We start from the raw sequence: 26,624 nt of genomic DNA, 5'->3' as shown, positions 1-26,624 counted from the left end.
ATCAGTACATGTAAGCTTTACATTGGTTCAACCTGGAAAGGTGGGACAACTTGAAGTGGGGGTTGGGGGGCTTCAAGGTCACAGGTAGATTTAAAAATTTTCTGACTCGCAAATGGTTGAAAGAGTTACTATCAATAGAAAGGAATTTCTAGGTTATGATAAGAGCTTGTGGAGACCAAGATTTTATCACGCAGATGAAGCCTCCAAGTAGGCTTCAGAGAGAATACATTGTAAGTGTTTCTTATCGGATAAAGCCTGTGTTGATTGTAATGCTGGTGGGCTTTTCTTGAATTCTAAAAGAGAGGAGGATATAATGGGGCATGTCTGACCCCCTCTGCTTCCTATCACGGCCTGAACTACTTTTGCTGATTAACTTTGGAATGCCCTTGGCCAAGAGGAGGGGTCCATTCAGGTGGTTGGGGGGCTCAGAATTTTATTTTTGGTTTACAAATGCCACTTTGGCACTGATCAGGACATCCCCAGCCTAGGTATATTTTGATTCTGATGGCAGCCCATGGAAACTTTTTCTGGTGGAATGTGGTTGGCTTCCATGAAGTAGTAGAAAAATTGCCTAGATGGCAAAGGACCAAGACCCTAGTCATTCCTGCCTCTTTTCCCATAGGGCCCTGGTTTCTGCTGCCACAACTTGGTCTTTCCTGGGTTTCTCAGGAAGAAACCTGAGACTTGAAGTGACCACTTGGAACTGTTGTATTTGACTGAAATATGAGAAAATGTCTCTGCCCTTGGTTTGGGTAAGATATGCCTAAAAGATGGAAGAAACTAAGAAACATTATAAATATAAAACTAACGGTGCTAGTTATTTATCCTAACTTCTTAAGTCTAAGTCAAGATCTGACTTAGCTGTGGCAGCATTAGAGGTACCAGCATTTGTTCCTTTTCTTACCTCTGGGTTAGCAAGAAGCAAAGCTAATTAGTTTCTAGACTAAGGGAAAACTGGCTGGGCATTGCTTCCAGGCCTAGGAGGATTCTCAGTCCCTAACAGAATCTGCCTCTAAGTGTCTCTGGATGAAACATTCTTCTCCTAACTCTATCCTTCACCCCTTTGGCCTTGAAACACAACACGCTTGGTATCCACAGTCACCCTGGCTCTTGCTGTGGTCCTTAGCCTCTGAGTAGCAGGAAAGGGAGCCAACATCTTTAGTGCCTTTGCTCCATGCCAGGCACTATCCTCCCAACGCTACATACACACATCATGAAGAAGGGCACCAAGTGAAGAAAGGAGCTTCCTCCCTGGACTTTAAATATTCTTCCCTGAAGCTCAGAAATATGCTGTAAGTATTAAAAAGATGGTAGTACTGCCCACTGACACCCCTACCAGCCAGCATAGAATTCAAAGTATAAAGAACACTGAACTATAAAAATACACACAAGGTAAAAAAAATTGCTTAAAGTCACTTCTTTCTAGTTTTCCTGATTATAAATTTCTAGATAAGTTCATTGAAGCTTAACTTTTCCCTCTGGTCACTTTTTGTGTGTGTGTTGGTCAGGGATGGCAGAGACAGGTTGCCACTCCTGCTTGGCTAATGCTGGAAGGACAAGCTCAGTCAGCCTCGCAGATAGCCCAGTGCTGCCCAGACTTCAGGTGACTCTGGACTGGCCTAACAAATGCCTTCCATATCTTAAGGTTCTTGATAGCTTGGACTGCTGCACAGCAAAGCTGGGGCAGGGGGAGTACCAGAAGGCAACAACCTCACTTGGTCTTGGTGCTGGGTAAAGAAAAAAATATATATTCCCTGAAACTGTGTATATATAAGACAGTCATCATGCAGATTTGAGGCCTGAATTCATAACATCTCCATTTCCCAAAACCTCTGAAACCAAGATTTCATTTTAAAGGGCTCCTACTTGGCAGTGAGTCCCCAGCTTGAATGGCCCCTTAGCTTTGTCTCTGGTGTTTGGTATGGCTCTGAAGACAGAAGCTTTTGGTCCCTGGAATGCATAGCCATTGCGCCCAGCACTCTCTTACTGATCTGGACTCATGTGCTGGTTTCATTTTTAGCCTCTGCAAATCTCCCTCATTTTTCTTGCTGGCAAAAATGAAGTACCCAAAAATGTGTGTGTGGTTTTGTCTTTTATTTTTTTCTTTTTATTCAGCATTTCAAGTATTTTTATCAAGGATTTTTTTAAAGGCTATTTAGTATGCACTATTCTGGAAATTTAACTCTTCATTCCCTACAATGTCCTTTCTCTTTTAGAGAAACACTTCTATTTTGCCCCTTGTTTGTGGAGAGAAATGTCCAAGAGGACTCAAGTTTAACAAGTATTCAAGCACAGCTATTATGAATCTCTAGGTCCCCTTCTTAGCCACAGCCAACCAGGTCTTCCATGTACAACCCTCCAAGGCATTTTGTTACAATTTATAGCATCAGCAAGATTTCTGATACCACAATTTTTTAAAAGACTGTTTAAAGAGAAAGATAAATGATCATTTCTCCCATAAATGGTTTCTCAAAAGTTAAGAATGTGTTAGTTTCTCTCAGTAGCACAGCATGGATATTTATTTATTCATTAATTCAACATATTTTAAAGACTATGTGCTAGACGCTCCAAGGGAAGCAGTCTGTAAGGTGGGGCATTTATTCAACAAGCATTTGGTAAGTTCCTTGCATGTTCCAAGAACTTGAAAAATAATAGGAACGAAGGCATGGAGGCAAGAAGCAGCCTGGCGTAGTCAGGGACCCAGAGTGGTTTAGAATGGATGGAGTGTGGAGGTGACGGGAGATGGGAGAAAGTAGTCACAGGTTTATATAAAATCTTCTTGAGCTTATATTTTTATTCAAACTTTCAGGTTTAGTATGCTTTCTTCGCTTTCTATGCTTAAATCAATACTTTATATTTTAATCTTATTCTTTTTCTTTAAAAAATGGTATCAGAATGTATAGAAGGCTTAGAAAATAAAACAGACATCTTGTGATTCATAAGAGCTCCGTAGCCCATCTCCAGGTCAGTGTCAGGCCCTGGGCTTCAGTGGGTCAGAATGGCAACCAAAGGTGGGGTAGGTACAGGACACAGCACATAGCATCAGGTTGGGAGTCTCTACCAGGGGAATGTTGAAATCTATAGAAGAAAACTAAGACTGGTGCCCTGGAAGTCAGGCTGGACCAGAGAGAAAAGACCAAGTAACAGAATCTGAAATCACGAGGCAGGCCCTGTGTTGAAGGCAGCTCCAGGGAGTAAGAAAACTACAGATTCCAGGCTGGAAGGCCTGGGAAGCTTCCTTTGTGTCTGCTACAGATGGTCAGGACCACAGAAGGGTTCTACATAAGGTTGCCTCCACCCTAGGACAGGGAGTGTCTCCCTGCCTTGGGTTTCAGAATGCCCCTTGACATAGGCAGGCAAGGGTTGTTATGGTACCAGAGCAGCCGCAGGGGCTGCAGCCGGGAAATTGCTCAGGCAAGCCAGGCCCTCAAGGGGTGGGTCTGGCAGCCTGATTTTCATACCTAAATTCTCACAAGCTCTACATAGCTACACCTACAGAACTGGGGCCCAGTCTAAAATATGAGAATGTAGGTCCCAGCAGGCGAGGATTTGCATTGGAACTCCTGGTAGATCTTTTGGAAGACTGAACAATACATCCTCTACTTACTTCTAGGATACAGTGGTCTGCTTTTCACTGGGAGGACTTTCTGCCATTATAAAATAAAGATAGTGGATGACAGAAGACTTGGAGTGTACAAATATGACATTGTACATAGAGAAATCAGACTGCCTAAGACAGGTGTATGGGCTTTCGTAGAGAGAAGCTCTGAGGGCAATAGACGTACTTGTTTCCAGCTTTATTAATGAATAAACAGTGCACTGATCCCAGGGCTAGGCTTTCCGAGAAGCAGCCAGCCCAAGTGCTTCTCTGAATCTCTTCAGTGACAGGCACAGGTTTCCTGAAGGCAAGAAAAGGAATGAAATTCAAAACAGTCACGGTGGCTTTAGGGTGTTGCAAAGGTAATCTAGATTACAGCTCACTCTCCCTGTCAGGCCATCCATCTGCCTGAGGCCCAGATCACGGTGACTGATGACCAGGGTGACTGATGACCACGCTGACTGATGACCACACTGACTGATGACCTCGCTGAAATGCACGTCCCTCACAGGGAGCCTGCCCTGTTCTTCCTCTCAGCTCTTTTGGGGCCTAGTTCCCCCTCCCAGCTCCTGTCTCAAACCTTAGTGCCACTCAAGCACTTCCTCCTCTTGTCTTCACACATGTTCAGCCTCCTGAGGTTCACCTGCCTTCCCACTCCCTTAAATCCATTTAAAAAAGAGAAGGGAGGGCACGTTCTGGGCTGGCCCTCAGGAAGGAGCCTGAGGCAGGTCAGAGCTGAGCTAGGCTCTGGATGGGCCTGCTTCTCATTACCTGGGAAGAGGTGGAAGGGTGTTCTAAGCAGAGAGCAACTGGGCAGTGAACAGTCTGATGAGAATACAGGGATTCCTAAAGGGAGAAGGGTTAGAAAAATAGCTCGGTGCATTTAAAGGTGGTCTTAAATTCTAGGATCAGTTTCAACTTTCCTTTTTCTTTTCCATGACCACCAGTCAAGAACAGTTTGAACTTTCATAAGCAATCAGGAGTTACTTAAATTTGGGAATAGTGAAAAGTAAAAATAAGCATTTACTTTTTTTTTTTTTTTGTAAAGACAGGGTCTCACTATGTTGCCCAGGCTAGTTTCCAACTCCTGGCCTCGAGCAATTCTCCCACCTTGGCCTCCCAAAGTGTTAGGACTACAGGCATGAACCACCACTCCTAGCCAAGAATTAACATTTATAGTTTTAAAATAACAGCTAATATTTACATTTTGTAAGGAAGAGTTTGTTTCTTTGGACCCTCACGATAGCCCTGTGGAAAAAGTCGTGTTGAATCTGGAGGCAGGTATAGGATGAATTGCAGTGTTGCCCAACTGTTCATGTCTCCTGCTCCTGTGGAGCCCCCATTAGGAAATGCCGGGTTCTCTGTAGAGTGGATAAGGGGAGGAATAGCAGCAGCTTCTTTTTGTTGCATCCATTCCAGAAATGATCAGGCTGTCCCTGAGCAGTGCTCCTGCCCTTATCTATGGCTGGGCTGGAGGAGGAGAGGTGAGCAGAAGTGGAGAGAGGCGGGGAGAGCAAGGGGATGCCAAGATTATGGTGGGGAGGAGTTGGTGAATGGACAGCAGCCAGGACAACAGCCAACCATGAAAAGAAGTGTTCATTAGCAGCCAGATCCCACCCAGGTGCTGTGAGCACCCCTGCAATCTCTCTTAACCTCCACTTTGGAAGACAGACAATTAGGCTGTTTTTGTTCACATGGCAGAGACTGCTTATGGGATACTCAGCTTTTCTAACAGTACAGGCCCTTTGTGGGAGGGTCATGAAAGGTTTGGAGTGTGTTTGTTATTCAGTACAATGGGATCAGTTATGCTGCTGAAGGAATCTTGTGGAAATGTTTTTTTCTCTGCAGTGAGAATAAGGAGGAGCAGGAAACACAGGTATGATTACGAAAAGGACTGGTAATCAACCTTACATTGCCTTTTGTCTCGCTCTGCTTGTACCAGTGAAAAATAGTGTGCACAAGGATGATGAAGAAATGCTAATACATGCTTATGGCAATCAGGGTGATGCTATAAATAGGACAGGCTTAAGAATAATATAGAATGGCTTTGCTGCAAACTCAAATACGGTTTAAGGAAAGGTGTCTATTTGTTAACAGTGTGAAATTTTCCACCTGATACTCATGCCCCCTCCAGTTTTCCTTCCAGAGTCCCAAATGAAAGACACTTCCTGGGGGGGAGAGAAATTTTTTTCAATCTATGTAAGATTGTATGTGCTGTCCTTCCATCAGTTACAACTGTACAAACACAAGCCTAGCCACTGATTCGAATCCCAAGATTTACAAGTCTTTTGATTAATATAAAATATGGGATAATGGTTAAGACCAACGATGATGGCATCTGAGACCTGAGTCTAATCCTGCTCTCTTTAATTTCCCAGGACTGAGTCCTCAGGGGAATTACTTAACATTAGGCCTCAGCTTCCTCATCTATAAAACAAAGATAATAGTATCTATCTCCGTAGGTCGTCATAGGGATTAGATTAGATCGATGAGGCAGTGTACTCAGATAAATATTAGCTATCATTCTTATATGATTAACAAAGGTTTTAGGAGGCATGTGCAGACAAAGCCAAGGCCAGAGCAAATCCCAGGGAATATCAAATTACAGAATCATGTAACTAATTATTTGAAAGGGCCTTTCAAAATTGTTTGAAGCTTTATCTGGTACTAGAAACTTTTCCCACCCCCTGTGTGTTTACCCAGGCCCTGCTTGCACATGCATTTGCAGGCCAGTCTCCGCGAGCTCTGTTGGAAAGTTTCTCCAAAGTATTTTGAGTCTAAATCTAATCTCCTAGAACTTTCACTCAGTGCCTCTGTTTCTTCCTCCAGAGTGATGGAGAACAGGCCAAACACCACCTTTCAAATACTGAAATGATATCACTATATTTAGTCTTCTTCAAATTAAACCACCCTAGTTCCCTCAACTATTTTTCAAAAAACATGATTTCCAGTCATATCACCGCCCTGATTTCCCTTCTTCTAAATCAGTGGTTCTCAGCTGGGGTGACACGTCTGGAAACATTTTTGGTCGACACAGCAAGGGTAGTGTCAGTACTGGTATCTGGAAGTTACAGGCCAGGAATGCTGCTAAACATGCTACAGTGCACAGGATGACCCCCAATAACAAAGAATTATCTAGCACAAATAGTTCGTAGTACGGAGTTTGAGAAACCCTGTTCTAAGTATGCATGTTAATCAGTGTTCTTTTTAAAGTGTGGGCCAAAAATGTGCATGGATGAGTGTCAGCTAACATTGCTATTGTACCGCCACTACATTGCTATTAAATTAGCCTGAGATTCCCGTGGTTTTGTAGCTAGCAGTGAATTAAAGCCTCCTTTCATGTGTTTCTGCTAACCCAGGGATGGAATACACAGGGCCCACGTGCTCACTTAGAAAACATTCATAAGGCTGGGTGTGGTGGCTCATGCCTATAATCCTAATACTCTAGAGGCCAAGGTGGGAGGATTGCTTGATGCCAGGAGTTTGAGACCAGCTTGGGCCACATAGTGAAACCCTGTCTCTACATGAAATAAAATTAGCTGAGCGTCGTGGCACATGTATGTAGTCCCAGCTACTCAAGAGGCTAAAGCGAGAGGATTGCTTGAGCCTAGGAGTTCAAGGCTACAGTGAGATATGACTGTGCAACTGCACTGCAGTCAGGGGAATAGAGCCGGGCCCTGTCTCTAAAAAAAAAAAAAAAAAAAAAACGAAAGAAAGAAAAGAAAACACTGAAGGCCAGGTGCGGTGCAGTGGCTCACGCCTGCAATCCCAGCACTTTGGGAGGCCGAGGTGGGCGGATCACTTGAGGTCAGGAATTTGAGACCAGACTGGCCAACATAGTGAAATCCCATCTCTACTAAAAATACAAAAAATTAGCCAGGCATGGTGGCACATGCCTGTAATCCCAGCTACTCAGGAGGCTAAGGCAGGAGAATTGCTTGAACTCAGGAGGTGGAGGTTGCAGTGAGCCAAGATCACGACACTGCACTCCAGCCTGGGTCACAGAGAGAGACTCCATCTCAAAAAAAAAAAAAAAGAAAAAAAAGAAAGAAAGAACAAAAACACTCAGCCAGGTGTGCCTGTAATCCCCACACTTTTGGAGACCAAAATGGGAGGATCACTTGAGGCTAGGAGTTTGAGACCAGCCTGGGCAACATAGTGAGAACTTGTCTCTACAAATTTTTTGTTTTTTAATTAGCTGGGTGGTGTGCACCTGTAGTCCCAGCTACTTGGGGGAGGTGTGGTGGAAGGATTGCTTGAGTGTGGGAGGCCAAGGCTGCAGTGACCCACCATCGCACCACTGCACTCCAGCATGGGCAACAAAATGAGGCTGTCGCCACCCCCAACCTACCCCGCCAAAAAAAAAAAAAAAAAGAAAAGAAAACACTCATTAGTGGTGGCACTCTTCCCTGTGAGCACAGAGGCAATCTTGCAGTCTTTTTCAACACAATATTCTAAGCCACCACTACCAGTCATTCAAATGATTGTTGGCATACAAGATGAAATCTTTCTGCCAGCCATATTACCCTAGTTTTACAGTGTTGGGACCCAGGTCATGATTTAATTCTGGGTCCTGTGCTTTGGAAGAATCCACTAAACTGTGCTGTGATTCTTGGGGGTAGCTAGAAAGAAAAGAGGATGCTTCAACCTGATACTCAACAGCAGCCAAGTCTCTTATATGCAATTCCCCAAAATTCCTTTCCCAAATACAAAGCCTGGCCATCTGCTGCCATGTTGATGGAGCAGGGGCTGCCCAGAAAGGATGTCCTGTCTCTTCCACACACACCCCTCAAGCCCCACATAATGACTCCTCCTCATTGCAAAGTTCTCCTCAAGCCTGCACTCACCATTCCTGATGCTTCTGCTCTCGGTTTCCTGGACCAAAGCCAGCCTTGACTTTACCAGTATAAAGAGATACAGGGAGAGGGGTAGAGGCCAGGAAACATACTCTACACCTTGAATTCTTCAGCAAAGCAAAAACTGGAGTAGACAACAATCTAAGCTTCTCAGAAACCTGAAACCTATGCTAATCAATATCTAGGAAATGGTTAGTTTTACCTTGAAGCCCAATGCTTTATTCCACATAGCATTTAAAATAATTCCTTTTCCCCTTTATAGGAAATACTTTTTCCCCATAAAGAAATTTCCTTTCCCGCTTTTAATCTTCTTTTTCCTTTTTTGTTTTTTTGGTTTTTTTGAAATGGAGTCTTGCTCTGTTGCCCAGGCTGGAGTGCAATGGCACGATCTCGGCTCACAGCAGCCTTCGCCTCCTGGGTTCAAACGATTATCCTGCCTCAGCCTCCCGAGTAGCTGGGACTACGCATGCACACCACCACGCTCGGCTAATTTTTGCATTTTTAGTAGAGACGGGCTTTCACCATGTTGGCCAGGCTGGTCTCAAATTCCTGACCTCAAGTGCTCTGCCCTCCTGGGCCTCCCAAAGTGCTGGGATTACAAGCATGAGCCACCACACTCAGCCTTAATCTCCTCTTTGGATAGGCTGAAGTAAATGTCTTTAATTTCAGCATTCTTTATAAACCTAGTCACCTCGTTGGTTTGTGAACAATGTAATATGTTTGCTGCAACTTGATTTACTCAAATATCCTCCTTGGTATATTCAAATAAATCACACATTTGCAAAACTAATCTAGTTTTCAGGGTTTTAAACATTTATCAATCACACGAGTGGAGCTAAACTAATGATCTATAAGGAATGTGGTATCTCCCAGTTCTGTTAGTATTTGAGAAGGAGGCAGAAACTCGAGAACATAGAAACCATTCATGTTTGAATAAAACAAAAAGCATTTTATGTTTTCCAGACTGAGCATTTTGAGCTTTCCACACTGTGTAGCAGATCCAGAAAGCTCTTGTTTTTAGAAAAGGTGCTCGAGGAGGTGACAGGAGCCTTCCAAACATGAGGCCTCCTGCCACTTTTTCTAGAAGTATAGCATGTAGTTAAGACCTCAAGTCTGTAAGTCATACACCCTCAAATTGAGACCTGACATTCCCACCTTCCAGCTGTGACAGCTTCATCTGTTACTTAAGCTAAGCCTCAGTTTCCCCACATGTAAAAAGGTAATGAGAGTAGTACTTACCTCATGGGGTTGCTGTAGGGTTGAATGAGAAACAATATAATGAGGCATTATGCCTGATAAGCATCGGCTCTTGTTATGCCATGCCATGGACCTCTGATAAATGAAAGGTTGTTTAAGAGATAGGTGTCTCTGGCCAGGCATGGTGGCTCACACCTGTAATCCCAGCACTTTGGGAGGCCGAGGCAGGTGGATCACCTGAGGTCAGGAGTTCAAGACCAGCCTGGCCAACATGGTGAAACCCTGTCTCTACTAAAAATAAAAAATTAGCCGGGCGTGGTGGCACGTGCCTGTAATCCCAGCTACTCGGGAAGCTGAGACGGGAGAATCGCTTGAACCTGGGAGGCGGAGGTTGCAGTGAACTGAGATCATGCCAGTGCACTCCAGCCTGGGCAACAGAGTGAAACTCCATCTCAAAAAAAAAAAAAAAGAGAGAGAGAGAGAGAGATAGGTATCTCTCTTCTGGTTTATTTTTTGGTGTGTGATACAGTAATACAGCCTGTCCGCTGCAGTATATGTTTCTATAGCATCAATGAGCTCATGTGTGGTTGCAAAACGGGAATGATGGCAGGACAACATGGACGTTGTGTTGGTTCACATGCCTTTTCTTTCAAAGCAAGGAGAGTTGAAATAGCAGAATAGAATGAGAACTTCAGTGGGAAAAGCTTAGCATGGCTTTCAGTTCTATTTTTATTTTATGAAAAAGAATTTTTTTGAATGAACATCTGCACACGGGGCTCCCTCTCCAGAGAAGTACATCCTACCCTTGCGTGTCCTAGGCTGCACATCCGCTTCACAGCGACCACGCCGGCTCACAGCACCCAGCAGCGGGAGTGTTTATTTTATTATATCTGTGCATTTTTTATATCCCCTGAAGTAGTTTCTGGCCCTACTGAGTGCCTGCCTTGTCTGTCTAAGTTATCTCCCGAGGTACTAGTTATTGTTTCTGTTAGTAGACTAATTACAAAGTCGCATAGGTTTCGAGCGCTCTGCCTTTAAGCCTATTTTCCCCCATAAGGCCTGTTACCTTTATTGTGAATGTGAGGCTTTTCAGGAATGTGCATATGTTTTAACAAAGGCCCAATTTCTTTCACATGCTGCAGAAGGCAGCAGCAGCTGAAGCAGGCATGTGAGGGAATCGAACCAGGCCCTCCTCAGGAATGGAGACAGAATTCCAGGCTGCAAAGCTGCTCCTTCACCTGGAAGGCTCTGGGTTCTGCAGCCTCTGAAAGCACCTTCCCAGCCCACAGCCCAGAGCACTAAAGTGCAATGCTTAGATCCTGACCCCCTGCACCCCCAGTGCAGCAGAAATAATACCTTTTCTGTGTGTTTCTGCCTTGGACAGAGAGTGTGTAACAGCATGGATCAGCTCAATATATTTCTGAATAAAGCCTTTTTCTTCACTTTCTTTGAAATTTGTTCATGGAAATGCACTTTGATTATCTCTGTTTCCCCTGGGTTTAAATTCTTCCTACCTCCCTAGATCTTGGCTCATTGTAATCTCCACCTCCCGGGCTCAAGCAATTCTCCTGCCCCAGCCTCCCGAGTAGCTGGGATTACAGGCACTTGCCACCACGCCCAGCTAATTTTTGTATCTTTAGTAGAGACAGGGTTTCACCATGTTGGCCGGGCTGGTCTTGAACTCCTGACCTCAGGTAATCCGCCCGCCTCGGCCTCCCAAAGTGCTGGGATTACAGCCGTGAGTCACCGCGCCTGGCCTGTTCATTTCTTTACTAAAGCCCTGATCACATTCTGCCTCAGATTATTACAAAGGTTTGTGTGTATGTCACGTCAGTTTAACTATAAGCTTCTTGAGGGCAGGGACCTTGTTTATATCATCTCTCCATTTCTTTCATATTGACTAGCACTATGTCTTTCACATAGTAAGTACTTAATAAATGTTTACTGAATGAGCAAGTCCTCCAAAAGCATTGATTTTTATTTGGGCCCTTTTGTAATGAGTGGGTACCAAAAGTACACTGTGAATCCCAATGCAGTGGTTAGAAGACATAGTTTTGCATTAAAAATTTCCTGCAGCATAGTTATTGGAAACCATTGAGGGGAAAGCAAAGATCAGAAAGCAATGTAAGAACCCCTGAAGTGAAATATTTTTTTCATCTTTCTAAAAAATTAATAAGCAATAGGCAAGAATTAATTTAGCTGCTCTGGTAGTTCCTGCTTCTCTTTCCAAGGCTCTGGAAGTTGAATTGTTTCCCAAGGGAATACTAGCTCAGAACAAACCTCACGGTGATTCCTGCCCTGATAGGGAATTTGGTGACAGATGGCAGGGTTGTTTTCACAGCGAGGGAAACGTGGGCCTGGTGTGATGGAGGGGCTCAGGAGCTTTGGCCGAAATGCACAACTTCCATTGTCCCCCCTCTTCTTGGCAAGGGCCCAGGTATCTGTTCAGTGTCGCTGTTCAGGTCCCCTCCCGTAAAAGTCACAGCTTTTAATAATAAACTTACAGCAATAGTTTATAAGTAAAATTTATTTATAGTAAAAAGTAGTGTATGAATAGCCCTTTCTGAATAATGCCACATTTATTATCTAATTTGATCCTGAAACAACCTTTTTGTATTAGTTTGCTAGTGCTGTTGTAACAAAGTACTGAAAACCAGGTGGCTTAGAAATGGAAATGTATTATCTCTCAGCTCTAGAGGCTGGAGGCCAGGATGGACATGTCTGCAGGATTTGTTACCTGTGAGAGCAGTGAAAGAGAATCCATTGCATCTCTCTCCCAGATTCTGGAGTTTTGCTGGCAACCTTTGGTGTTCCTTGAGTTGTAGATCTCTGCTTTCATCTTTACATGGTGTTGTGTGTGTGTGTGTGTGTGTGTGTTCATCTGTGTCCAAATTTCCCCTTTTTATAAGGACACCAGCCATATTGGATTAGGAATTAACCACTACCCTACTCTGGTATGACCTTAACTAACTACATCTGCAATTGTGTCCGGAATTTATTCCTTCTGGTGGGTTCATGGTCTTGCTGACTTCAAGAATGAAGCCGCTGACCTCGCGGTGAGTGTTACAGCTCTTAAAGGTGGCGCGTCCGGAGTTGTTTGTTCCGGAGTTGTTTGCTCCTCCCTGTGGGTTCTGGTCTCTCTGACTTCAGGAATGAAGCTGCGGTCCTTCACGGTAAGTGTTACAGCTCATAAAGGTAGTGCAGACCCAAAGAGGGAGCAGCAGCAAGATTTACTGTGAAGAGCGAAAGAACAAAGCTTCCACAGCATGGAAGGGGACCGGAGGAGTTTGCCGCTGCTGTCTGGGGTGCCCAGCTTTTATTCCCTTATTTGGCCTCACCCACATCCTGCTGATTGGTCCATTTTACAGAGTGCTGATCCGTGCGTTTACAATCCTTTAGCTAAATACAGAGTGCTGATTGGTGCATTTTTACAGAGTGCTGATTGGTGCATTTACAATCCTTCAGACAGAAAAGTTTTCCAAGTCCCCCACTCGACCTAGGAAGTCCAGCTGGCTTCACCTCTCACAATGACCCCATTAGTAAGTAAAGGCACACTCTGAGGTACTTGGGGTTAGGACTTCAACATGTGAATGTGGGGGGGGACACATGCAGCCTTTATAATAGGTAAAGCAGGAATTACTCTGTTTCCCATTTTACAAAAAAATAAGCCTCAGAGCGATGAAGTATTTTATCCAAAGTAAATGAAAACCCTAGGCCACACACAAGTCGGCTGCCTGTGTCAGTAGTCAAAGACAGCAGATGGTGCCTCTCGCTATGACTTTATCTAGCTGTTCTCACTCTCTTGGACCAGTAAGAACTGAGGCTACACTGAGGTGTGGGAAAAGAGGAGCAGTGGCCAAATATGGTCTCCCTTGGAATCAATTTAGCAGATGCCCTATTATTTAAAGCTTCGCTTGCTGCCTTGTGGCTGCACCTTATGAGGGCTTGGCCGGCAGGGGAACTGTTGTTTCTGTCTGGTGGGCCCATTCCTGAGCCATAGGAGGCTGGGAACAATGAGCCTATTCAGGGCAGAAAGTGCAAAGCCCCGCGTTTCTTTTTTCTCTCTATAGCATCGTTCTTTGCCTCCCTGTGCCTTTCTTTTGTCCTGCCTATTGAGTAACATCAGCGTGGGTGTTGGGAGCGTGTGAATTGGCAGCCGTGTGAGCGGGCGGCTGAGGACGTCTGACCGATGATGTATGCGCCAGGACAGGCAGCAACGGGCGAGCTTCCCAGGAACCACTTTGACCTATGCCTTCTGCTCTGCCTGAGTCACTCTCACGAGCTAAAGCAGGTGACCCCTCATGGAGTGCTTGTTCCCCTTGGCAAAGAAAAGGGACACGCCCCATCGGTGAGCTCCTACCCTTGGTACACTTGGAGGGAGTTGAGTACAGATTTAAGAGACAAATTCTAATCTCTGCTCTGCCACTTGCCAACTGTGTGACTTTAGGGAAGATGCTTAATCTCCCTGTGTCACTTCCCCATCTATAAAATGGAGACAATAAAATTTGTTCTCCTCCTAAGGTTACTAAATGGATAATTGATATAAGTTATACATGCTGCTTGGTTGGAACAACATGTCTGCCATATAATTCTAGCACTTAGTACATGTAAGCAATACTTCCTTATTTGTTTATTTAGTTTCCCGGGTGTCATTTGTTAATCTGTTCATTAAAAATTGGTGAGGATCCACCAGTTAGAATGCTGATAATTAAAAAGTCAGGAAACAACACATGCAGGCGAGGCTGTGGAGAAATAGGAACGCTTTTACGCTGTTGGTAGGAGTGTAAATTAGTTCAACCATTGTGGAAGACAGTGTGGTGATTCCTTAAGGATCTAGAACCAGAAGTACCATTTGACCCAGCAATCCCATTACTGGGTATATACCCAAAGGATTATAAATCATTCTACTATAGAGATACATGCACACATGTGGTTATTGCAGCACTATTTACAATACCAAAGACTTGGAACCAACCCAAATGTCCATCAATGATAGGCTGGATAAAGAAAATGTGGCACGTATACACCATAGAATACTATGCAGCCATAAAAAAGAATGAGTTCATGTCCTTTGCAGGAACATGGATGAAGCTGGAAACCATCATTCTCAGCAAACTAACACAGGAACAGAAAACCAAACACCACATGTTCTCACTCATAAGTGGGAGTTGAACAATGAGAACACATGGATACAGGAAGGGGAACATCACACACTGGGGCCTGTCAGGGGGGCTGGGGGCAAGGGGAGGGAGGGCATTAGGACAAATAATGCATGCAGGTCTTAAAACCTAGATGACGGGTTGATAGGTGCAGCAAACCACCATGACACATGTGTACCTATGTAACGAACCTGCACGTTCTGCACATGTATCCCAGAACTTAAAGTAAAATAAAATAAAAAATAATTGGTGAGGATTATATCAAAACACAGTGGTTGTATTTAGATGATGGGATTACAGGTGATTTATTTGTCTCATTTTTGCTTGTTTATATTTTCTAAACTTTCTGTAGTAAATATGTTTTTGTTTTTGTTTTTTTAATAAAAGAAAACAGACTCCCACTGATGACTTACGGAGTGCAGTAGATGAGGTGTGAGTGGGTACAAAGTGAAGAAGATGTGACCATTGTCCTTAATGGAGTTTAAAGTCTATGGAAGGAGATAAGACAGGGAGACAAATGACACAAGAGAGTGGACAGTGATGCTCAGGGAAGGCTGGGAACAGGACCAGTCCTTCTCAAGTGGCACCTGGCATTAAAGAAATGTTTTCATCATTCTTGCCCCAACAGTCTCCATATATGGTCTTCCCTGATCTGGAAATAGGACAGTAAATGGCACAGTCAGAGGCAAGGGTCACTCTTTTCATTGATCCCAGAGCCCCAGGGGGATGGGGATGGAATTGCTGAAATTCCTTTCTAAGGTACCCGTTTCTAGGAACAAGCTTATGTGGAAGAAAAAGTTGAGATGCTTTATGTAACTCATCTTATCCACAACAGATTTGTACCCCAGTTGCAAAGCAGCACATCAAGAGGAATGGAGAACTAATTTTCTGTTTCTCTCTCTCTTCCCGTAGCATAATTAGCATCATCATTATTCTGGCTGGAGCAATTGCACTCATCATTGGCTTTGGTATTTCAGGTATGTGATTTCTTGCATTACTACAATCTATTCACCCCTCACCATTAAACTCCTAATCACTCAGTGCGTTAGCATGGAAAGAGCCCAGAGCTTTGACCCAGAAAACCTCAGAGTATAGCATTCATTCTTCTACTTCTTGTGCTTTCTCTACATTAGTCAGTTAAGTCCTCGACTTCAGTGTCCTCATTTTTTATTATTTATTTATTTATTTTGAGACAGGGTCTGGCTCTGTTGCCCAGGTTGGAGTGCAGTGGCATGATCTCAGCTTACTGCAACCTCCACCTCCTGGGTTCAAGCCATCCTCTCACCTCAGCCTCCCAAGTAGCTAGGACTACAGGCATGTGCACCACCATGCCAGGCTAATTTTTTTATTTTTAGTAGAGATGGGGTTTCACCATGTTGCTCAGGCTGGTCTCAAACTCCTGAGCTCAAGCAATCCACCTGCCTCGGCCTCCCAAAGTGCTGGGATTGCCGGCCTGAGCCACCGTGCCCAGGCTAGTTTCCTCATTTTTGAGTGGGGAGATACTGTCAACATCACCAGTTAGTTGAGATAATCAAATGAGATGTTTATCAGTAGTCTATCTATCAGTCAGTGCTGAAGATGTCATTCTGGGATCATAGGTGAAGTGCTGCCTCTGAGCCATTCTGTCAGCGGTTGGCCTGGGTAGATGATTTCTTTGCAACGAAGCTTCAGCTGAAGTGTTAAAGAATATCAAGTCTTTGTACACAGGGGTCTTAGGTAAAGAGACAACTGGTCATGACTACTGTACCATGTAGGAAACAGATACCGCTGTAGCACAGATGGTTAGTTTCTGAACGTATCTAGCCAATGTCAGTTGCAGAAGAGTCTCTTCACTTTCCTCTTCTGCATAGGCCACTGCTCTGAAGCATCTTTTATGGATGCTGCTTTAATTTTGACACTGAATGAGTTAAGGCTGGCAGTTTTCTTCTCTGAGGCAAATTGTCTGCTCTTTTTTTCATAAACCACCTGACTCAGTCCAACACATTCATTTTAACTCAGTCTGTGACCAAAGCTCCGTAACTTTATTTTCTATATTCCAGTGGCCTTTCTGCCATGCTTCTCCAGTGTAGACATGCTGGCACTCAATACTGTCACAAAGTCGAAGCTAAGAAAACTTGCTAGAGTTGTGTTTGCTAGAAAAGACATTCATCCCTTCCCCACTTTCTTTGTCATCAATCATATATTTTTTAGGCCAGTTGTGGTGGTTCACGCCTATAATCCCAGCACTATGGGAGGCTGAGGTGGGAGTACTGCTTAAGGCCAGGGTTCAAGACCAACCTGGGCAACAAAAAGAGACCCTGTCTCTACATTAAAAATAAAAAAAGTAAATAACATGTGTATTTTATCTTCCATTCATTTTTTTCTATTGGGGTATTTGTCTTTCTCTTTTTGATTTGTAGGTAATTCCTTCTTTATCATGGATGCAAACTAGTTACAGGTATCACCAAATCTCTTCTACTCTACACTTTGCTTTTTTACTCTCTTAATGATGTTTTTCAATGAGCAGAAGTTCTTAATTTTAATTTTTATTGATCCTTTTCTTTATACTTGGAGCTTTTTGTAACCTGTTTAAGAAATCTTTGCCTATTCCAAGGTCGTGAAGATGTTCTTCTAGATTATCTTGTAGAAGCTTTATTGTTTTGTCTTTCACATTTATATCTGCAAACCATCTCAAGTTAATTTTATATGTAGTACAAGAGAGGGGTCAAGATTCATTTTTTCCTTATGGTATCCAATAAACCCAGCACCACTACTGAACACACTGTCCTTCCCCCACTTCCCTTCAGTACCGTCATGGTCGTAAATCACGTATCCAAATGTGTGGGGATCTGTTTCTGAATTCACTAGCCTGTTTCATTCTAATACTAATTTCCTATGTTAATTTATTTCTTTTCCTGTTCATAATCTTGGTTGTTTTCTCTCAACCAAGTTTCTGAAATCACTAGCCTGTTTCATTGTAATATTGATTTCCTATGTTTCTGTTTCTGATCTGTTTCTGAATTCACTAGCCTGTTTCGTTCTAATATTGATTTCCTATGTTAATTTATTTCTTTTCCTGTTCATAATTTCGGTTTTTTTTCTCTCTTTCTTTCTCTCTAGTCTTCTCTCTTTCTCTTTTTCTTTCTTCTGCTCTCTCTTTCTCTCTCTCTCATATACTAAAATAGATTTATAAGGTATTGTTAGCTTTATAGTAGTTTTGAAAGAACCAGCTTTTAGCTTATTTATATTTTCTCTGATCTGTATTCCTATTTTACTAATTTTGGCTTTTATCTTTATTAATATTCCTCTTCCTGCTTTACTTGGCCATCTTTCAATTCTTTTTCTACTGTCTCAAAATAAAGCAGCTCACAAGGAGTGTGAGTGCTTAAAAAAGCAGCTCACAAGGAGTATGTCCAAAAGGCCAATAAATAGCTTTTAGTAGATACTGCCATTCAATTTTCCAAAGTGATGAGTCAATCTACTCTTCACCAGCAATGCATGAGAGATCAAGCTCTCCACACCCTCACCAATACTGGGTGTTGTGGAATTTTGTGGTTTTAATTTCTGTTTCCTGGTGACAGAGACTGAGTACATTTTCATATGCAAAACATAATGTGGAACTACAGAAGAGCACAAAAGAGTAAGTTCTGTATGATTCTATGCATATGAAGTTCAAAAACAGGCAAATGGATCTCTGCTGGTCAAAGGTAGAATAATGGTTCTTATTACCTTTGGGGACAAGTAAGCAGGTAGCAGTGAGGAGGGGCATGAGGGCACTGCTGGGAGGGCAGTAAGGTTCTATTTCTTGGTGTGATGATGGTTACATGGAATAAAGTTATAATCATTCTTCAAGCTGTACAGTTATGATGTGTGGATTTTTATGTTTGTATACTTCAGTACAGACATACAAAAACATTTGTAAATGTATATATAAAAACATAAAATGCATATAATGTCATGTATGTATATATACATTTTATGTTTACATACATATATATTCTTTTTTTTTTTTTTGAGACAGTCTTGCTCTGTCGCTCAGGCTGGAGTACAGTGGCATAATCTCGGCTCACTGCAGCCTCTGCCTCCCAGCTTCAGGTTATTCTTCTGCCTCAGTCTCCTGAGTAGCTGGGATTACAGACGTGCACCACCACACCTGGCTAATTTTTTGTACTTTTAGTAGAGATGGGATTTTGCCCTGTTAGCCAGACTGGTCTCGAACTCCTGACCTCAAGTGATCCACCCACCTCGACCTCCCACAGTGCTGGGATTACAGGTGTGAGCCACTGCTCTCTGATTTACATATATATTCTTTATAAGGAAATAAAATATAGACTGATAAACCAAATATTTTGGAATAACTTTTAAAGATAGTAATGCTAAAGTACATTTTGGTACCTTCCTCACTAAGGCTTAACTCTTTTTTTCTTTTTCTTTCTTTTTTTTTTTTTTTGAGACAGAGTAGCTGGGATTACAGGCGCGCACCACCACACCTGGCTAATTTTTTTGTATTTTTAGTAGGGACAGGGTTTCACCATGTGTAGCCAGGATGGTCTAGATCTCCTGACCTTGTGATCCACCCGCCTCGGCCTTCCAAAGTGCTGGGATTACAGGTGTGAGCCACCGCGCCAGGCCACTAAGGCTTAACTGTTAATTATAATTTACCCTATTCCTGATCTTATACATCACCTTCAACTAAAACCCTAGTATTTATTTGTCACTCTAAATCTTGATGACTAAACTTTCTTGGACCTAAGGCTCACTGGCTTTGCATCAGAACTCTTAAGAGAGTTGTTTATCTTTTGGTTGTTAGTGGTGTTGACTCTCCTAGCAAGAATTTTCACAATATCATAACTTCCCTGTGTTAGTCAGGAGGTTTGCTACTTATATCTTTTCCTGTTGCATAGCGACAGCCACCTCAAGAACTGTACTCAGCTCCTTGAATGCACAGGGTGCTCCGTAAGTGCTTTTTGAATGGACAGTTGGATGGATGCATGGAGGTGTGAATAGATGGAAGTAACAGTCTGCTCAATCCAGTAATGTACCATCAAAAATTTAAAACTCTACTACTGCCAATAAAAAGGTGTTCTGCCTCCTTCCCATTTCACAGGGTGACAGCTGGTTATTTGGATAAAATGGGCAGTTTGTTAGTTTAATACTGTTTAGTTGGATTTTTTCAATTGCCTCTATTAAAAGGACTATAACCTTTATCAGAGATCGTATTATCACATTTTAAATGAATTCAATAAAATATTAGCTGGTTTAATATATAAGACATTGAAATTAAGCAAATAGCGTTAAGCAGATGATGATATGTATTAGGCCGTTCTTGCACTGCTATAAAGAAATTCCTGAGACTGGGTAATTTATAAAGAAAAGAAGTTTAATTGGCTCACGATTCTGCAGGCTTTACAGGAAGCATGGTGCTGGAATCTGCCTGGCTTCTGGTGAAGCCTCAGGGAGCTTTCAGTCATGATGGACGGCGAGGGGAAACAGTCATGTCATATGTCGAAAGCAGGAGCAAGAGGGAGAGAGAGTGGTGGGGAGGTGCCACATAAGTTTAAACGACCAGATCTCATGTGAACTCAGGGCCTGAGAGCTCACTTATCACCAAGGGGATGACCCAAGCCATTTATAAGGGATCTGCCCCAATGACCCACACACCTCCCACCAGGCACCTCCTCCAATATAATATAATTGGGGATTATATTTCAACATGAGATTTGGGTGAAGACAAATATCTAAACTTTATCATGATGATATCTTTTGAATCCTTTCTTCATGCACTTCACTGTACTAAATAACTTTGCATGCATGATTTGCCTTACTACACACAACAAATAGGAGGTAGATGTTATTACTATGATGAGATGAGAAATGTGTGGAAGGACACACAACAGTCAGCAAGTGAGCATGGCTGTATTTCAAGCCTTGGGAATTTGTTTCCCGAACCTACACTCCTACCCATCACCCCATACCAATGACAACGTTCACACAGAGTTGTAGTGGAGAAGGGTGTTTTATGGTTTGCCTTGCAGGCATGATTCCTGAGACCACAGCTTTTGAAAACATAAAACTTTTCCCCAATACAGAAAGAAATTCTATTTCTTTGTAACTCTCCTGATGCTGTATATGCCACCTTCTCATAGCCATCCTCCTCCTTACAAATTCTAAATAAAAACCCCAGAAAACATAAAATGCATTTGCGGTGGACCATTTGAAAGAGAGGTTGAGGGGTTCCAATCAGCCCCTGGTTAAAGGACAACCCTTGTGGATAAGCCTTCGAGAAGGAAGGAGACGTGATGGAAAGGCCCCTAACCATACCCAGCCCAGTCCCTGCGCTATCACGCACCCTCTGACTTTGAACAGCTCTGTATAATGGAAGAATCTCAGAATCAGAGCCATTCCAATCTCAGCGCTCACACTAACTGTATATCCTTTGGGATACAACTTAAATGTTTCCTCATTGGTAAAATAGGCAGGGTCATTGTGAGAATTAAAGGAGAGTCCACTCACACACCTGTGTGTGATAAACAGCTGCCATTGTTATTTATATTGATGCCATCAATGCTTTTAGTAAAAATCTGCTATTATTAACGCATTCATATAGCACCTCCTAGGAACTGCACAATTTCCTGGTCAACCAGGAAAGGCCTCCTTTGAAGCCACAGGATGCTGCCTCCTAATAATTGTTACAAACAAAACCTGGAACTGTAACATGTGTCCCGTATCGCCCCCGCAACCCCACCCCCCTGCCAGAACTGGGAAGCTGTTGAAAGACCAAAGAATGACTTAGACAAGTCCAGTTTGGTGAGTAAATGAGTTTATTAGGACTTACATACAGGGCACTCCTGGGTGGCAGCAAGACAGCCCTAGAGATCTGTGCCATCTCCCATATCTAAGCTGCTTTTAAGCTGGTTTTCTGGCTCTTTGCCTGCTGTGTGTTTGCAATGAGACTGTTTTTCTTGGTGTGTTCTCAGATACTCTCTGGGATGTTTAGGTTCTCAGGGACATCTGCTCCTCAGCTGGGCACCAAGGCCTTGGCTTACCACCCAGCTGTTGGGGTTCAAGCAGCAGACATACACCCCTAAATAACCTGGTGAGTGACCTATCACACTACAGTAATGCTCCAGCTTCAGACATTGGATAAACCGACTAGGTGTGTGCTGATAACACCAAAATGGAAACATTGCACAGTTTATTTAGAAAATATTTGATCTGTCCAAAAAAACCTTCGAGTCATCTGAGAAAATAAACAGCTGTGGGCCTTTCTTACACTTATTTTGTGGTTTTTAGTTGTTTTGATTTTTAAGTGAAGTAGGGATATCTTCTTATTGGGTTGGCACTCTACATGTCTCAATCTGGCCCTGGGTATCAGCAAAATATGGTAGAAAGGGCATAGGCTCAGGGCCAGACCAGGTTGTGTTTGACCCTGACTCTACTAACAGCTAGATCCAAGGCATTCGGCAAGCCATTTAACCTCATGGAGTCTCTATCCTCATCCATAAATGGGTATAATGGTCATTCTTACTCTCTCATGGCTTAAAATGAGTCTCTGTAAGCAAACATTTAGTGAAATGTTGTTTTCCTTACCTCCTGGGGCTCTGATCTGCAATCTTTCCAAATGATTGTAGTTAATAATGGTTATTAATATCAATACTGATTTAAGGTTTAGCATGTGGCAATTCAGGTACAATATTTAGCACTTTACCTGCATTGTATCATTAAGTCCTTTCAGGAACCCTCTAAGGGAGCATCCCCATTTTACAGATTTTAAAAAATGGTGAAATAAAGGGTTAGAAAACTTGACCAAGGTCACATATCCAATAAGTGGCAGAGCTGGGACTTCAACCCAGGCAGCCTGTACCTGTGCCATGTTCTCAAACACCATGTTCTGCTGCTTTCCTACATTGTTCCCGTATCTGGCCTTGCCCAGTGTCCTTTTAAATTTCTTCTCACGGAAGCAACTGTTCTCCCCACCCCACCGTCTTCTTTGGCAAGAGTGACACTCACAGGTTTGACCCCAAGGTTAAGCTTTGCATTTCGACCTTGTAAGCCATGTACTGTGGTGCCCATCTGGACAGCTGAGTTTTAGCAGATGCTGGTGACCATCTGCTGAAGACATCTAGCATGCTCTCTATGCTACTGGAATGTACGAACCTGTCTTTCTGAGTCATTTCAAAGGACAGCTCATTTTCCAGGTTTTATCCAGCGCTGTGGGCTGCCCCAGCATCATAGTTTCTGTAAAGAATCCTTGTCTTGTGTTACCTATACCCCCACTTCAAGATATTCCTACTCCTACAACGGAGCGCTGATTGAATAGTACTCCCACTGTGTGAACCCAGAGCTGCTCAGGTTTCGTCTTGCCCCTGCTTTAACAGCCCCACTTTCCTCATGCAGACAGGAGCTGTGGTAGTTAATTAGCCCTCACAAGCTGGATAATTAATTTTCAGTAAGTGGCTCAGTCTTCCAATTTTAAAGGGGTTTAATGAAATCTTAGAGGTAAATGAAATGCTTAAAATCTGTGCCCATTTAATAGAATTCTCTATCAATAGGTACCTGCCTCTAGCCCATCTCCATGGGGTCCTTTTGTCCTTTGACTCAACAAGTCACACAAGAATCTCTGGTGGAGTGAGTCTCTGTCTCCAAAAAATAAAAAAAAAAGAATCTCTGGTGGTCAGTAGGCCTGGAGAGTCATAGGAGGCCAGATGGCATAATCCTCCTTGAGCCTATGTTTGTTTGCAAGTCTGAATAGTTTCTTTTCTTGTGAGAAGTAATATTTACATGTGGTTGCTTGCAAATTAAATTTTGTCACTTTTAACAATCATTTATTCACTTAACAAACAAGTATTTTATTGACTGCTTTCTGGGTGCAAAGCAATGGCTAGGTCCCTGTGGTTTTTTTAAGTTCTCACTGGCTCTTATTTCTCTTCTTTATTTGACATTGGGGTGGAGGGGATTTAATCAACATTACACTCATTCCATCTGCCACATCATTAATGCAACCTTAAATGACTAGAACCTGCAGCAGGTCCCTAGGGCATTCCACAGCTGCCTACTTTTAATCATTAACTTCTCTGGGAGATATTTCAACGGATTCCCTAACTGTGAGCTCAAGGCCAACATATTAAAATTAATTCAGTAATACAGTTGCTGAACTAAGGTATGTCATTACCATTTCATTCTCTCCATAAACTGTGCTAATCATGTATTTTTTCTGAGAAGTAATCTTTCAATTCAACTTTAATGGCACTTTATCAACAACCATCAAATTTACCTTTGCTGTAACATAGTTGTATTTGATTCATGATTTTATTGTGAACCTCTCAGTATTTTTATTGCCTTCCTTTTCATTGGATCACATTTCCCCAAAGTTTAGATGTGGTAATCCTGCCAAACGTCCCTTACTCCTACAATAATTTTAGCCTATCTCAAACAATGCTTTGATTTCTACTGATTTCCATTTATTTATTCATTTATTCATAAACTCAGCAAACATTATTTTTCTCTGCAGAAACATAGCTCTAGGCACTACAGGACTTACAGATAGGATTAAGACAGTTTCTGCTCTTGAAAAGCTCACAAACTAGTTCCAGAGATAGATTAGAGACCAGGTAGAGGGAGACAGCTGCTATAATAAAGGCCAAAAAGACAAAAAGTTACAGGAAAGTAAAGAGAGAATCTACTAATTTTTCCTTTGGTGAATTAAAAGAGGATTTCATGGGAGGGCTGCCATCTGAACGGACTTTGAATATAAGTAGAATTTGCATAACTGGTGTTAAAGAAGTGTGAGCTATGAATTAATAGGTACAAGATGAACAGCAGTGTGAAGGCGCATAGTGTAATTGTGTAACCCATGCTAGCCTGGGATGCCTTGGATATCATTCTCTAAGTAACAATACTTGCAAAGCAAACTGAATCTTTAAATCAATGTTCAAGAAAATACCAATGCAGGGAATGGAGGTGTGTTGTGTTCTTATTACACAGCAAAAACTTCATTTTGTCCTCTTTCATAATTCGTCTCCCAGATCTCCCACAGGAATGGCCATGCATGGCAGCTGCTTCCAAAGTGTCTTTTCTCACGCTCTCAAGCCTCCAAAACATCCTTCCAAACCAGGCTATGTACTTGTTTTTGTCTCCTCTTCCTCCTTTTCTAGCTATAATTTTTCTTCCATCAGTAGCCTTCTGTTCTTTCTGCTGCAAATCCATCTAGATTAGCTTCTCCAGTTCTCTTCCTCATTCATTACCCTCATTTACTTTGTAGAGGTCTAGGAGTCAATGAGATAATTCCAACCCCTAATAGGCTGGAAGAGGAGAAGAGCCAAGGATATCCTTATGTTGATAATGTTTACCTCTCACATTAAAACAACAACAACAACAACAACAAACACGTCTGCTTTGTTTGTATGTTTTTTATTTAAGGCAGAAAATCAACAAATAATTTGATACAGACAGACAGAATGGACTATGAAAGGATGTAGTTGGAGAGAAGGCTGCAAAGACAGCAATAAGGGCTAATATGTATGGAGCATTTACTATGTAGCAGGCAGTGTTTAGCTTTGAAGTCCAGGCTGGAAAATCTGAAATCCATTCCACAGCTCTTAGGAACCATTAAAGATGAGTGATTAGAAAACAGATATGTTCAAATTGTACTGTAAGAAGGTCTACCTGTAGGATTAATGCATGTAAAATGGATTGGATGGAGGCGAAGATGAAAGGTAGAAATACCAATAAAGAAGCTGATAAGTCCAGTTAGGAAGTGCTCAGGACCCGTTATGTTGGGCTTTTTTGGCTGTAAGAAAGAGAGACTTGTGCAGGCCACTTTAATATCAGGTGTTGTTTAAAGGATGTGCAGAGATTAGGACAGGAACTAGACCTGAACACCCCAGGATCCAAGACAGCTCTGGGGATGAAAGACTCTTTCCATTTTTCTCTCCCATGGTCTCTCCCCCATACTTCTTTGTGTCTCCTCCACTCTCCTCTTGGGCTCCAAGGCCATCTGCCCTTAGTTTCATATCCAAGCCACAGAAAGAGCCTCTCAAGAAGATTCAGTTAATTAAATCACCCCAATAGGTGTCCTCAGTCAGCAGCCCCCAGTGTACAATGAACAGCTGATTGATCCTTCCTTGACTGGGTAGGCTGTAGGCTGGCCAAGTGAGGAGGAAGCAGTTGGATACAGCTGGCACATAATTAATATTTCTACTGGTGGTATGTCAGTAGAGGAGAGGGTGGCTTTCATTTTAAACCAAAAATCAACTGAATTAAATACAGTTCTTCATTATGCTATAGCTAGCACTGTAAACTTGATCAAATCAGTTATTTTCTCACTGCCTTAGTTTCTATGTCATTCAAACAGAAATAAAAGTTACAGCACTTTAGAATTCAGCATTTTTCAGAATGACTAGGCCACATTTAGTTAACATGAGATTTCACTTCTGTGCTACTTCTGGTTAACTGAGAATAACAATACCTTATATGTGTAATTACAGTTTGCAAATCAGGTTAATATCCATTTGATTTGATCCTCACAAGAAACCTTTAAAGTAGGTGATATAGTTTGGCTCTGTGTCCCCACCCAAATCTCATCTTAAATTATACTCCCATAATTCCCATGTGTTGTGGGAGGGACCTGGTGGGAGATCATTTGAATCATGGGGGTGGTTCCCCCCATACTGTTCTCATGGTAGTAAATAAGTCTCACAAGATCTTATGGTTTTATCAGGGGTTTCTGCTTTTGCATCTTTCTCATTTTCTCTTGCCACTGCCATGTAAGAAGTGCCTTTCACCTCCCGCCATGACTCTGAGGCCTCCCCAGCCATGTGAAACTGTTAAGTTCAA

General features: G+C 42.6%; 1 protein-coding gene across 7 annotated transcripts in view, besides 2 other annotated features; it reads left to right on the top strand.

Moving 5' to 3' along the window:
- VTCN1 (V-set domain containing T cell activation inhibitor 1) overlaps window positions 1-26,624 on the top strand; it is a 67,341-nt gene that overhangs the window by 25,034 nt on the left and 15,683 nt on the right. For 5 of the 7 annotated variants that reach the window (NR_045604.2, NR_045603.2, NM_001253850.2 and 2 more), the window contains exon 2: window positions 15,723-15,787. Coding sequence is in view for 4 of the 7 variants with exons in the window: in NM_001253850.2 (NP_001240779.1) it covers window positions 15,723-15,787 (65 nt within the window). In the remaining 3 variants the exon portion in view is untranslated. Of the gene's footprint in view, window positions 1-5,053; window positions 5,475-13,721; window positions 14,000-15,722; window positions 15,788-26,624 lie in introns of those variants that run through there. The other 2 variants (XM_017002335.3, XM_011542143.2) reach the window with 2 other exon arrangements.
- Window positions 13,217-13,778: an enhancer, noted in NCBI's record as "H3K27ac-H3K4me1 hESC enhancer chr1:117714738-117715299 (GRCh37/hg19 assembly coordinates)". NCBI's record gives its function as "activates a minimal SCP1, AML or CMV promoter by ChIP-STARR-seq in naive H9 embryonic stem cells {active_cell/tissue: H9 hESC(naive)}" and the evidence as "EXISTENCE:reporter gene assay evidence [ECO:0000049][PMID:30033119]".
- Window positions 13,779-14,341: an enhancer, noted in NCBI's record as "H3K27ac-H3K4me1 hESC enhancer chr1:117714175-117714737 (GRCh37/hg19 assembly coordinates)". NCBI's record gives its function as "activates a minimal SCP1, AML or CMV promoter by ChIP-STARR-seq in naive H9 embryonic stem cells {active_cell/tissue: H9 hESC(naive)}" and the evidence as "EXISTENCE:reporter gene assay evidence [ECO:0000049][PMID:30033119]".

This window comes from Homo sapiens, chromosome 1 (genome assembly GCF_000001405.40).
Source record: "Homo sapiens chromosome 1, GRCh38.p14 Primary Assembly".
NCBI classification, from domain to species: Eukaryota; Metazoa; Chordata; class Mammalia; order Primates; family Hominidae; genus Homo; species Homo sapiens.
Note: the sequence above shows the minus strand (reverse complement) of the source record. Positions and strands in the feature narration are given on the sequence as shown.